Consider the following 13,945-nt stretch of genomic DNA (forward strand, 5'->3'; position numbering starts at 1 on the left):
AGGGGCCCTCACCAAATTTCAGTGCAACTGGATCCAGGGTCTCCCTTTTGCATGAAAGTGTTTATTTTGCTGCATTTTGGTACAGGGTTAAGAACACTGAAGAATCTTCACCATGCTCTCTCTGTACCCCATCTCCATCATTTCTATTGGACATGGGAAGTACACACAACTTGTCAAACAACAAAAATAAGAACAAGAAAATCCCAGCTACATGATTTTCTGGGGTGAGAGTTCTCTCTCCTTGGAAGTGAAACAAGCTAGTGTTCATCAAGTCCTGAGAACTCACTTTAATCGAGAGCAAGAAACAATGCAAATGCTGCATCACTTCAGACTGGAATTAGGCAGAATATGAACAGAAAAAGGAACCTTTAAATAGATGACTAGGAGGCAAATTCGTTTTGAGAAAGAACGACAGCTAACATTTACTGAGACCTTTTATATCTGTTATCTCATTCAACACTTCCAATAACTCCATAAGGTAGATTCTGCCATCGTCTTCATTTCACAGGTAAGGCTTAAAGAAGTTAAGTGAGCTACCTGAGATCACATCACTAGTAAGAAGCAGATTCTGAAAGCCATGCACCTAATCGCTATCCTAAACCAGACAGTGCCTCACTGGTCACCCAGGAGCCCTCAGATGTGCATTTGTCCAGTGACACAGTTCCTCTCAATACTCTTTCCTGCTTCACCACCCCTTCTTTATTTTGTTTACCACAAAGCAGCTTGAATGGAGCCTGAGCATGTGCTTTGAGTGAGCCCAGAAAGCAGCAGAGGAGGGCCAATCAGATTCGTGAGAGGCATTTATTTTAGTTCTTAACCCATGAGCTTTATTGTAATAACTGATACAAACCAATTTGTTGGGACCTGTGTTATTAATATTAATAAAGACTGAACTAGGTGAGGCTCAGGAGACCCTGGAGGGGATCCCACCTCCTGAGACACCACCCCAAGAAAATCTGCCAGGGACAGTCTGGCTGGAAATATTATTATTCATACTGGACAGCTGGTTCCTGGCTCCCTCTCCAGTCCCTGGAGATGGGAGGCCAATTCTTCCCTGTTTCTCTTCATCTCTTTCCTTCAGAAGGATTAGAAATAAAGTCTGAGTCACTTTTCTGGCTAGCCTTTTTTTTTTTTTTTTGCACTAGCTCAGTGTGTCTGTGGCCCCACATGTGACTGACTCCATGTGTGTCCCTTTGTGTGTGCTGTGTTCCTCAGAGCATCTTCTCAGGTTGGGCTCTGCCTGTGCATTTGCAGGGAATGTTGTGTGTTTCTCTCCCTGCATGTCTTCACTTTCACTTGTCATCCGCTTTTAATAATTCCATCAGCTTGGTTTACCAGCTTAGGCTACTCCCATCCAGATGCAGGGAATTTCCATCCTTTTTTCAAGGTGGGAAGTGCCAGGAAGAAAGCAAAAGTGTGCTCAGTGGACCGATGGCCAAATCTGCTAGTCAGCTACTCCACTGCTGAGCCCAGCTGTGGGAAGCCACGGAGCCCTGTGCCCGGAGCTCTCCTCTGTATCCTGGAAATTCCGTGCAGCCTAGGAGAACAGCCCTTGTCCCACAATTGCCCCTCAGTAGCCCTCCGGCCTCTTCTGAAGCTTTAACCAAGTGCTTGAAAAGAACCGAAAGTGAGGAAATATTCCAACTAGAATGGATCCCTTTGTGCCAACAGCCTCCTTTAGAGTTCAGGAACACAGAGGAAATCGAGGAGGGCTGACTTTTCACCTTAGAACTCACAAGGCCCAAATGTGCCAATGTTTAACTGTCTCTCCGAGGTGCTTCTGACACCCGGAAATTCACCATGTATTTGGCATCACCAGGAGCTCCTCAACTCCACTGCTTCCTCCTGCTTCTCTCTTCCCTGGCCTTAACTTCACCACCCAGACCCACTGTCCAGCTTCCCAGTCTCTCTGGGTCCCCACTGAGGCTGCCCTTTTTGGGGAAGGAAGAGTGGCCTTTTTTCTTGGCCCTCAAAACTCCTCTGAAGGGGTCTGGAGCCCGCTGGGAGACCAAGAGCTTCTCTTGAATCTCGGCTGCTGCATGTTTAGTATTCACAGCATGTCTCTAAAAAACGTCCTGAGATCATTCATCAGGCACTGTGCTGTGTGCCTAGCTGCTCTCCTTCCGGGTGTGTGTGTGTGGCCAGGACCCTCCCTCCATCTGCTGGTGAACACACATGCACACACACCTTAACCTTTTTCCCTTTTCACCAAACCAATCGCATTTTCTAAGCAGACCTTTGCCAGCTGGCAGATCGCTCCCTTACTGAGGTGGGCTCCTGGCGTTGGGCCTGGGCTCGAAGCCGCTCACACTCCAGTGCTGGGGAGAGGCGCTGAGAGCAGGAGCCCGAGCCGAAACTCAAGGTGCGTGTGGATGTTTGCGATGGTGACCAGGAGGGGAGCTGCAGGGAGGGCATCCCCAGCAGAAGGCGAGCAAACAAGGGGCGAGAAGCAAGGTCAGGGGCCAGGGAACGGAGTCTCCGAAGCAAGCGTTCCTGCTGCCCCTTCTCCGCAGTTCACTCCCCGCCCCCCTTTCCCGGGTTCACTTTGGAAATTGGCTTGCCCTCTCGGCAGCCAGCAGTTCCCGGCAGAGTCCGGCCGTAACGGTCAGATTCAAGAAGTGAGGCAGCGCCAGGCTGGGTGGCTGGGTTGCTGGGTTGTTCTTGGGAGATTCTTTCCCCAATTGTCAATTTTTTGCTTATTTTTAGTAGTGACCCGAGCCAGGAACTGCGCCTTTAAGCCGCTTTCCCATTCGGGGAAATCGACGCCAGCACTCGAGGGTCGGGAGGCGCCGGAGAGGCCCCTCATTCTGCACTCCCCTCTTTCCTCCCCCTCCCCCTCCCCCCGCCCCTTCTCCCCTCCCCTCCTCGGCCGTCCGGCCGCCTCGCCGCCATCCGTCACCTCGCAGCCTGCCGCACTCCTGGAGCGAGAGAGCGACGAGCGAGCCACGGCGATGGTGCCGCCCGCGGCGCAGCCATGAAGCCCGCCCGAGGAGCCCGCGCGCGCTCCTGCCATCCTGCCCGCAGCCCGCCGCCTGCGCGCCAGCTCCCCGCGTCCCGGGCCAGCTGCTGCCGCCCTGCCAACCTCTGCCCGCCCCGCCGCCCGGCGCCACTGAGCCCCAAGCCCATGCCGGGCTCGGGGGCACGGGTGCCCTAGTCCCGCTGCCGCCGCCGCCGCCGCCGCCGCTGCGCCGCCGCTGCCGCGCCGCTGAGGAGGCGGAGGAGGAGGAGGAGGAGGAGGAAGAGGAGGAGGAAGAGGAGGGGGAGGAAGGTAAGAGGCGCGCTGCCTTCAGGGGGGCGCGCCCGCTGTCTCAGCCCAACCGGGGGTGGGTCGCGGCGGGAGCGTTCCGCCCCGGGCCGGCTGGGGGGCGACTGGCGCTTGGGCGCCCCCGGGAGCCGGGGGCAGGGCGGGGGGCGCCGAACGTCTGGCCGCCCGGAGTTTGGGCGGGCGGGGTAACGGCCCGTTGCGTGCCCACTGCCCCGGCGAGTCTCTGGCTTGGCGGGCTCGTTTGGCCTCCGCGGGTGCGGGGTGAGGAGTCGAGCGCAGGGGAGTGCAGCGCGTTCATTATGGAGCCTTTGTGTGCGCGCCTGGGCTGTGGGCACAGTTGGGAGAGCTGGCGAGACGCGGGGCCTGGCTGCTAGGAGGTGGCCACTTAGCCGGGGTGCCCGGCGAAGCCCGAGCCCAGGGGCTGCCAGAAACAGCTGTCTGAAGCATGTGCGTGGTTCCCGGGGCCATGTTCACAAGCGGACACGGAGGCGCACACACACGCACACACAGCCGCACAACATACCCGGCGCTCAGCCACACAGTCAGCCCCATGCAAAGACCACACACACACACACACACACACACACACACACACACACAGAGAGAGAGAGAGAGAGCGCGAGCTACACTTGCCCCCTCCCACCAAGATGCTAATAAAGCTCAAACACATATACAGATACATGCACCTCCCCCTAGCGCTGCTAAAACATGCACACACAAACACACTCCTCTACTCCCCAGCCTAGTGCTTTGGAGGTTGGAGAGTGTGTGTGTGTATGTGAGTGTGTGTGTGTTTTCTCAGAGTGGTCTTGAGAAACTACATGACAACTGCACATTACTGCAGATCCAGTACCTGCTGCTTCCCCCCAATACACACCCAGCAACCCCCCGTCACACGCAGCTACTGTAGACACCTCCACCAGAGCCCTTAAGAACCCCATTCTGGCAAAAAGCGTGCCCAACTCTGGTAGTCATACCCTCCACGCTCGAGCTGTTGGGTTTCCTGCACACACACACCACAGCCCCATACACACACACTGAAACCACTGCAGGGGCAAATGTTTGACACCTTCCCCCAGAAGCAGGTGGCACCTCCACCCTTGCAGCTGCAACTAAAGAGCCCCAGATGACAGCAAACGCCGAATTCTGCTAGACCTGCCCCTCCCCTTGGCATCTTGGTCCAGGTGCAAAACCCTGGAGTCCACCGGGTGGTCTTAGCATCCTGCAGCTCTTACGGAGGGCGGGGCAGTCTCTGGACTCCTGCCTTCGGAGGAACTGCTATAAGCGCAAGGCTCCCTTGGGGGCGCCCTTCTCGAAGTGGAGGGTGGGGGATTCTATGCTGACTCAGAGCGAAGCACCAAGTGAGTTTTCCCAGCTGGAGACCGGGGTAAATGGCGAACTCCACCTGGGCCTAGAGGACCCGGGATAGTGTGCCAGTTCAGCCACAGAGGCCCTCAGCTTGGAGGCCCTGCCCCTCCCTCGCCTTCCTTGCCCATGAAGCTCACTGCAGGAGAAGCAGGGGGAACCCAGCTGCCAGCTTCTTGGGAGCTAAGAGAGGCTTTTCGGGAAGCCTTTGCTGTTTCCGCTGAGCAAAGAGATCTTGCTCTACCCGGGGAGACCTCAACAAGACTTGGCCGTGCCCAAGCAAACATGCCAGCGTCTACCCAATTTCATGGCTTGTTTTTTTGTTTGTTTGTTTTTGTATTTCATGTGAAAGGACTAATTCAACCTTAGCAGCTTGTCATGAAGGCACCCCTGAGGTTAAATAAGGCATAATGTATTGTGGATGGGGGAAACAAGGTTGAGGGGAGCAAGGACTAGTGGGTTTTACTGTTTTAAGTAGAGATGCGGAGTTAGAATGTAGACCGTGGTAAAATCGTGACGGCGATGGCTTCTACGTCAGAGCCCCTTCCCTGCTCCTGCCCCTCCCGTCGGCTGCTCAGGGCTCCTCTGGGTCCTCTCCCCCGCCCCCTTAGATTATTTAGGCGGGGCTTTGCTCACTGCTCGGGCAAATTTGATGACAGAATCCCTGCCAGGCCAAGGTGTTAATAGCTGATAGAGGTTTACTGCTTACACCTCACAGGTAACATTTGCATTTTTAAAGGACACAGAGGAGTGACTCTGTTGGTGGGGCTTTCAGGCACCTGTGGCAGGACTCAGGCAGGAGCAGTTTGTGGACAACCTCATCTGTCTACTCTACTGTCTGTGCCTAGGCCAGAGTTATGGGTGATGTGTGTGTGGGAGTGAGGGTGTCAGAAGGTGAGATGTAATTGTGGAGGGTTTTGAGGCCCACAAAGAGAAGGTTTCAATTGACTTGAGAGGCAATTGGGAGCCACTGCCAGATTCTGAGAAAGGAGGGAATAAGATATAAGCAGGAAAGAAACACTCATTGCTGCATGTGGAGAGAATATCCCCTATCTCTCGCTGGCACCCAACACCACAACCGCCTTGCAGTTGTGGGCTGAAGGCCACCAGGGAGAGGAGACTGGCCAGGGGAGGGTGGCAGCTGCCCCAGGCTTCTGGCCCTGAGGGTTTCCCAGATATGTGAGGCATTCTGCTGAGTGGCCAGACTATTGGCCTGAACTCAGTAAGTGCCCCCTCCAACATAAGCTCGTGATGCTGTTGGTGCTATGGCTTCTTTGGATAGTGCAACAGAGCCTCTACCCCACTGGAGGAGAGGTCTGGGGACTCCTATGAGGCTGCGAGCTGCATTTGGAATGAGTCAGGGGACCCCTCCCTCTTGTAAGTGGTGCAGTCCGAGGGTCTTGAGAAGTGAGCTGTGTGGCCCAGTTGGGGGATTTTGTGACCAACGACATCCTCTAGGAGCAGTAGTAGATTGAAAAAGTGCAACAAGAAAGCCCTGGGATTGCTGATGATAGCAGCAAGCTGGGAAAGGCTTGCTGGAGATGGGGGTGGGGGTGGGTAACAGAGGAGTCTCGGGTGGGATGAGTAGAGGAGAGGAATTGCCCCACCGCAGTAATCCTTACTTCAGCCCTTGGAGGGAGCATGGGTGGATGCAGGACAACGGAAGCACTCTGTACCCACCCTCCCCCACTACGCATAAATGATTGGACTCCGTGGCTAATGCCTGATAAGGCACTTGGAGGGGCAGCACCAATGCAACAGAGGAAAGATCCCTGTTTTTGTGGCACCTCCAGGCTAACTGAATGAAGCCATAAGACACACATACATACACATACACACAAATACACACACACATATCACACACAAGACACACACCCCTCAGACACACCCTCAAACCCCAACACATACCTGGGGCAAATTGTGGAAAGAGAGGCTCATGCAGACAAGCTTGGTTTTGGGGGGTTCTTGCCTTCACATATAGGCCCTAGCAATCATTGCTAGGGGGACTAGAATTGATACCTATTGATACTAGATGAAGACCCTTAGCTTTGACAGGCCCCCTGGGAGGAAGCACACTCAAGTCAGCTTCTGTTTGTGGGGCAGCCTTAAGGCCATTAGCATTCCCAGCAGAAAATTCTGTTCTGGCTCTTCTCTCAAGGACTTCTATTTTCCTTTTTACCATAAGTTCAGAAACAAAAACATTCTCTTGCATTATCGGCAGCCAAAATGAAGGACTCTCAAAATGGGGTGGACCTTATTGTCTGCTGAGAAATCCTGGGGCTAGGGGCAAAGGGGTAGGGTAGGGAGCAAATCCAGAGAAACATGCCATTTTCCCTCCTTTCCTCCCCTCAGCTGAGCTGCCAAAGGCAAGGACAGTGATCTTGGGGTTCTGTATTATTTCCCACCCATGACAGGCAGAGCACCCTTTTCTGAGACCTGAGGCACCATCCTTAAAACAGAACATTAACAGCCTGTGGCACACTAGTGCCCAATCCCTGGTAGTCAGAAAATGAGCCTGGAAATGGGAATATGTGTATAACGTGGGGCGGGGAAAGGAGAGAGAGGGAAAGAGGTGCTACTTGTGTATCTGTAGGAGCAGGTGTGTCTATTTCTGTGTGTTTGTGTTAAGGAACATGAGAATGAGCAGGTGTGTGCACTCTTGCAGCTTTCTCAGCATGCATGCCGTAGCCAGTGTTTTTGCTCTGTGCCTCAAATTCACTTTGCCATTAGCCACACTACTAGCCACCCGCAGCTTTTGAAAGAACTCTCTGCTAGGTTCTAATATCTGGGTCTCCTTCCAGCCAAGTGACCCCTCCTTTTTTCTCTTTTATTGCTAGTTCTTCTTACTACCCCTCAAATCTGGGTGTTCTCCAGCTCCTCCTGCTTTCCACTTTCTTTATTGACAAGGACACACAGGCATGCATGGCTTCCCTTCTCACCTCTTTACCAACCATTCCCATTTCTCTAGCCCAAACTTAACCCCACTCCTGAGGTTCAGTCCTATATTTCCAACTGCTTGCTAAACATTTCCTCTTGGATAGCTTGCTCTCAGACTCAGTATTCACAAACTCATCTCATTATTTCTCAGAGATGACTCACTCTTCTCACCTTTCTTTTACCATAAGGCTTCTTGTCTCCCAGTCTAGAAACCTCAAAGCCATCTCTGACTCATCCCCTATGCCCCAGTCCACCCTGACTCCTGCCACCACCTCACAGCCACACTGCACTAGTCTCTTTCCTTTCCAGTCCATAATACACACAACTGCTAGATTAATGTTGTGGAATATCCTTTATTCATAATGCTTCTGATCATCATCCTTGGAGGGTGATACCTGATTGCCTGTGGGATAAATTTCAGCCTCCTTAGCCTGGCATTCAAAGTTCTCCTTGTGTGGACCTAACCCTGTATATTCTTCCAACCCTATTTCTCATGCTTGGTCCACATCATTGATTCTCAAATTTTAATGTGTCTTAAAATTGCTTGAGGGAACTTGTTATAATGCAGATTCCTGAGTCCTACCTCCTGAGCTTCTGATTCAGTAGGTCTGGAAGCTGGAGTCCAGGAATATGCATTTTAACAAGCTCCCCAAGTGATTTTGATACACTTGATCTACTTGTGAAACAAAGCCCTACATGGACCCTTCTACTCCAGCCAAGTTTCTTACCCCAGGATCTCCTAAACGTACCTTGTACATTTTTTTTGCCTCTATGTTTTTGTTCATTCCATTTCACTCACCAGGAATGCCCTTTCCTTTCTGCCTATGCTTCTCTCCTATTCCATATCACTATACCTATCCTTCAGCTCTACATTCAAATTCACCTCCTCTGTGAAATCTTCTCTGATCATTTTAGACTAAAGTGATCTCTCTCTCCTCTCAACTCCTCCGTCTCTAAAATACATTTGGGGCTGGGTGTGGTGGCTCAGGCCTGTAATCCTAACACTTTGGGAGGCTGAGGTGGGAGGACAGCTTGAGCCCAGGAGTTTGAAACCAGCCCTTGCAACATAGCGAGACCCTATTTCTACAAAAAACTAAAACATTAGCTGGGTATGGTGGTGCATACCTGTTATCTCAGCTACTCGGGACTACAGAGAGGCTGAGGCGGGAGGATGGCTTGAACACGGGAGGTCGAGACTGCAGTGAGCTGTGGTCGCACCAGTGCACTCCAGCCTGGGTGACAGAGTGAGACCCTGTCTCTAAATAAATAAATAAATAAAAATACATTTGGCAAGTACATCTTTTTTTTTAATTTTTTTAAATCCCCATAGCATATGTGCCTAATACACAGTAGGTACTCAATAGGCATATGTTGAATTGGACCAAATACTTGTTGATTCATATTAGACAGGGATTCTATCGCATCTCCCCCTGCACATTAGTTCATAAAACATTTATTGAGCACCAATTATGTACAAGGCACTGTGCTAGTTGCTGTGGATAATACAAAAGATGAAGGAGGCTTCCTGTCCTTCTCCTTCTCAGTCATCTTTGAATTTACAGTGCCTAGTGCATAGAAGAGATACTTAATAAATATTTGTTGACTACTCAAATGAATGACTTCATGAATAAGTGAAGGGATGAAGTTCAGACTGGAAAAAACTTGAGCAAGTACGTAGGGTGGCTGTGTCATAGAGAAATAGGGCAGGAATGGAAGATAAGGCTAGGAAGATAGAGTGGGTATAGTGGATGACTATTATTATTATTATTATTATTTTTAGAGACAGGGTCTCACTCCGTTGCCCAGATGAGTACAGTGGCATGATCATGGCTCACTGTAGCCTCAAACTCCTGGGCTCAAGTGATCCTCCCACCTTAGCCTCTCGAGTTGCTAGCTAATTTTTAGTGTTTCATAGAGACAGGGTCTTGTTGTGTTGCCTAACCTGGTCTCCAATTCCTGGGCTCAAGCAATCCTCCCACTTCAGCCTCCCAAAGCACTGGGATGACAGGCATGAGCCACTGTGCCCAGCCTGTCTTTACTTTTTCTTATAAATATTTTCAACCTCAAAAAAATTAGAGAAAATAGTATAGTAACCCCCACATACTCATTATCCACATTAACTAGTTATCAGGACTTTGCCATGTTTGCTTCACCTATCATGCCAAACATCGATCACATCATTTTATTCCTAATATTTCTCTATGCATTTCTTAAAAACTGGACATTTTCTAACATAACTACAGAACTGCTAATACACCTAACAAAAGTAACAATAATGCCTTTGTATTATCCATTACCCTGTCCATAATCATATGCCCTCAATTGTCTCAAAACATGTTTTACAGTTGGCTTGTTTGACGGACGTTCCAAAAAAGTTCCACACGTGACATTTGGTTGTTATGTCTCTAAAGGCCCTTTCAACAGCCCTCTCTCTTTGACTTGTCACAGAAATCAGGTTGTTTGCTCTGCACAATTCCCACATTCTGGTTTGTCCTCTTATTGCCAGTTAGCTTGTTCACCTATCCCCTATATTTTCTATAAATGGAAGTTAGCTCTGGGCTTGATTAGATTCAAGCTCATTTTTCTTTTTTTCTCGCTTTGGCATAATGATTAAAACAAGATCATTCTGGAGGCAGGAAGACCAGTTAGCCGGTTGTTACCATAGCTGGTTGGGGACAGAAAGAAGATGGGTGAATGTATTTGGAGGTAGAGGAAACCTGATTTACCTACCAATTGAATGCGTGGGGTGAGGAAGAAGGAAGAGTCAAAGATGATTCTAAGGCTTTGAGCCTGCATAACCAGGAGGGTACCAATGTCATCCTATGAGAAGGATGAGTTTTTAATGAGAGCAGCAGGTATCATGGTTAGATTAAAGGAGGAACTTTCTCACTTTCTCACAGTAAGAGGCCATCTGCTCTGTTTTTTTTTTCCAGATAATACTATCTTTCCCAGAAAAAAATTTGATTCGTGGTATAGCTAAACATTTGATAATGTTTGGAAAACATTTGGAAAGGGACTCCGTATTTTTTGTTAACTGCAAATAGTTAAATTTCCAGCTCCAGGGCCTTGAGAGGGAGGATAGTATATACAATTCTGGATAGAGAGAAGGTAATGCTGATATCTCCCTTGCAGATGAGCCTACTGTCCCATATCATCATGGGTTTCTGAGTCATCAGGCTTGGGTAGGAGAGTGTAGGATGCCAGAACCTGGGATTTCTCTAGACACAGCCAATGAGCATAGCTCAAGATCCATGTCTTTCCTTGATATTGGCTGAAGTCTCTATCCCACACCCACTCTTCCACCCAATATGGAGGCTGTGTGGACCCTCAGTGGACCATGGCAACAGTGTTCTTGCCAAAGTCAAAAATTGCCTAAAAGCCCTGGGATATTCACTGGACTCTGACAAAGCCCCAAGATTATTTCGACACCTCAGTAGGAACTTGCTTAACTCGTTGAATTGGATTAGGTGAGAACTACTCTCAGCTCCATCCCATCATACCCTCCTTCATAAAGGCTTTTCTCTCTCTTCCTTCCCCTAGCTCATCTTTCTTCTTGCTTTTTCTTCTGCTCCCCCCTCCCTGCTCTTTCTCTTCCAGCGTACATTTATTCTCTCAAGTTAATCAAACACTGGCCCCTACAGCCCATTGTGCCTCAGATTGATCACTTAAGTAGCGTTATTGATTGCCCAGAAAACCTTAGGAGGTGGGAGTGTTCTGAAAGCTAGGATCTGACAGCTGATTGGCTGCCTATGTCTCACTCGGCAGCCTCAGCTCCTCTGCCGTCTGGAACATCTTTTGAGAAAGGTGAGGGAATGAACAGCGGAGATCCTTAGCGGGCTTCACTTATCTCATCCTTCCTTCATACTGGAGTTAAGGCATGGGAAGAGAAGTCTATTGACCACTCCAGGATCTAGCCCTGTACTAATGTTATGGTGAGAAGGGGAAAGCAAAGGCCCTGCTCTCTGGAAATCCGTAATTTAACAGAAAAATAATACTCATTCATATGAAGTAACTAAGAATAATACAAGATGGAAAACAATTATGTGCCACATTTTTTTGCTCTAAACAGTAAGCACTGTAGGGGTTCAAAGCACAGAGAGAATGAGAGTGTGGGCTGGAATGAGGGGAGAAGTCTTCCCAGAAGAAGTTGAACCTGCGTTATGTTTTGAGTAACATGTGAGATTGAGATTGTTGACTAGAAAAGGAACAGGCTTCTGAGGGGGAGGCACAGCATAGGGAAAAGGCTGGAGATGGAAATGGTCAGGGTGTTATCAAGAAAGGGTCAGAAAGAAGTCTGACTAGAGGAGAGGGTGTATATGCAGGCACAGTGGGGAAAAAATGATTGGCTGGGTATGGGACTCCCAGATTTGAAGAGTCTCTGATGTCAGAAGAAGTTTGGACTTGGGTAAACCTTGGGGGCTGTCGGACAATTATGCATAGTGATTCAGGATGGTTAGCTATGCAGTTGGAAGCAGAATTGATTGGAATAGGGAGAGACTTGAGACCAGCCTATAAGATACTACAGCAATCTAAGTGAGAGGTGATAAGGGTGGTGGCAGTGGGCATAGAGAGGAGGGTCAAATCCAAAAGGCTCTCAAGGCATCGGTGTGGCTGATAAACCACCAAGTAGATTTTCTTGACTTGTTTTTGTCTCACTCGCTCCTTCCTCTTAGCCTCAATACTTACACTTTCTTTGCCTCATGCCCTCAGGACCTTAAGGTGGCAGAGTTTCTGGAGCTAAGATAACATTGGGCATTATAATCAGTTATCCTTTCCAAGTAAAGTAGATGCGCACAGGGGCCTTCAGTACCATGACCTGAAAGAGTGAGCAATGAGGAATCTGGCTGCAGAATGCAGTTGAGATGATAGCCAAGCTGGGGTGCTGAGTATTACATCCCCCAACAGGGAGGCCGGAGGCAGGCGATGCCTGTGTCTGGTCTGTTTCAAGTCCCCCAAGGCTTCTGAGAGCTGGTAAGAGTGAGGAAACATCTTTCAACTTCCCTGGTAGAATCAGTTTGAAAACTCTTCTGAGCACTTGGGAATCATCTCAGTGAAGGTCACACCTGTGCCAGAGTATGGCAAGAGCTACCACAGCACTTTGATGCCAGCTGGAGCCCTGTTGCAGCTGGTATAAGGAAACTAAGTGAGGAGTCCACAGGTTGATGGGAGAGTCATGGCCAGGGCCTCTGCCTGCTAAATTGCCTCCCCCACCAACTTTCCCCTCCCCACCCAATCCACTGAATATCAGCCCTGGATAGGTGTCTGGGCCAGGTCTGCCAGCCCTGGATTGGAGGGAAATAGAGAACTGCAGATAAAGGGATATTTGTGAGATTTTAGTCTCCTTTTACTTGTTCTTCTTGTGGGAGCATATGATGCCTTGTAAAGATGAATGAGTACAGTAGTTCTGCTCAGGCTGTGGGCTCCTAACTGCCAAGGGAGCTCTGCTCTGAGGGCAGGACCACCCAATCAAACAGGCTTCTCCTTGCTTCTGATCCAAACCCACTGGGAAAACAGAGGAACAGATGGCTAGATTGGTGGATGAACACACGTGTGTGTGCGTGCGTGCACGCAAGCATACATACACACACACACACACACACACACACACACACACACACACACACACACTCTGCATAGTCTGTCAATCAGCGGCCTCCAGCACTTCCCTGCTAAAGATTTCTGTTTTGATTTCTGTAAAGTCTTCTGATTGCAGATTTGAGGCAGGGGTGGTGGTTGGTGGCTAAGAAGTAGGCAGGTGTCCAGAGTGGAAAATGCTTATGCAGGTGAAGGATTGAGAAGAGAGAATGCAAGTCACTGACTAGGGTAGTTTGTATGTTTACTACCCTTCTGATGGAAAAACCCATTTAAGGCAGAAAGAAGAGGGCATGATGGCAACAACTGGCTTAGGAGTCAACCAGGTAAGTGTCAAGATCTCTCAATTTGGAGATTCTTCTACAGTCTGTACTCACTGTTTGTCTCCTAAGTTTTGTCATTGGTTTATACATTTCTTCCTTCAGTAATTGTTCTCTTTATCATCCCACTTCTAACCTAGACCCAAGCAAGTTGGTTTCAGAAACTGAAGTACCCAGAGGATTTTTTTTTTTTTGACAGGATCTCGGTCTGTTGCCTAGGCTGGAATGCAGTGGCACCACCATGGCTCACTGCAACCTCTGCCTCCCAGGCTCAAGTAATCCTCCCACCTCAGCCTCCCAAGTAGCTGGGACTACAGGTCCATGCCACCACGCCCAGCTAATTTTGTTTATGTTTTGTAGATATGAGCTCTCACTATGTTGCCCAGGCTGGTCTTGAACTCCTGAGCTCAAGCGATCCTACCACCTGGGCCTCCCAAAGTGCTGGGATTATAGGCATTAGCTACCG

The 13,945-nt window shown here is 49.6% G+C and overlaps 1 protein-coding gene across 2 annotated transcripts in view, besides 2 other annotated features; it reads left to right on the forward strand.

Moving 5' to 3' along the window:
- Nucleotides 1,787-2,287: an enhancer, noted in NCBI's record as "H3K4me1 hESC enhancer chrX:106691754-106692254 (GRCh37/hg19 assembly coordinates)". NCBI's record gives its function as "activates a minimal SCP1, AML or CMV promoter by ChIP-STARR-seq in primed H9 embryonic stem cells {active_cell/tissue: H9 hESC(primed)}" and the evidence as "EXISTENCE:reporter gene assay evidence [ECO:0000049][PMID:30033119]".
- The window catches only part of FRMPD3 (FERM and PDZ domain containing 3), a 155,600-nt gene continuing 144,569 nt past the window's right edge, over nt 2,915-13,945 (forward strand). For both annotated transcript variants that reach the window (NM_001388459.1, NM_001388462.1), the window contains exon 1: nt 2,915-3,268. The gene's annotated coding sequence lies outside the window, so the exon portion shown is untranslated. The remainder of the gene's footprint in view (nt 3,269-13,945) is intronic.
- Nucleotides 4,122-5,036: an enhancer, noted in NCBI's record as "H3K4me1 hESC enhancer chrX:106694089-106695003 (GRCh37/hg19 assembly coordinates)". NCBI's record gives its function as "activates a minimal SCP1, AML or CMV promoter by ChIP-STARR-seq in naive H9 embryonic stem cells {active_cell/tissue: H9 hESC(naive)}" and the evidence as "EXISTENCE:reporter gene assay evidence [ECO:0000049][PMID:30033119]".

Source organism: Homo sapiens, chromosome X, assembly GCF_000001405.40.
Source record: "Homo sapiens chromosome X, GRCh38.p14 Primary Assembly".
NCBI lineage: Eukaryota > Metazoa > Chordata > Mammalia > Primates > Hominidae > Homo > Homo sapiens.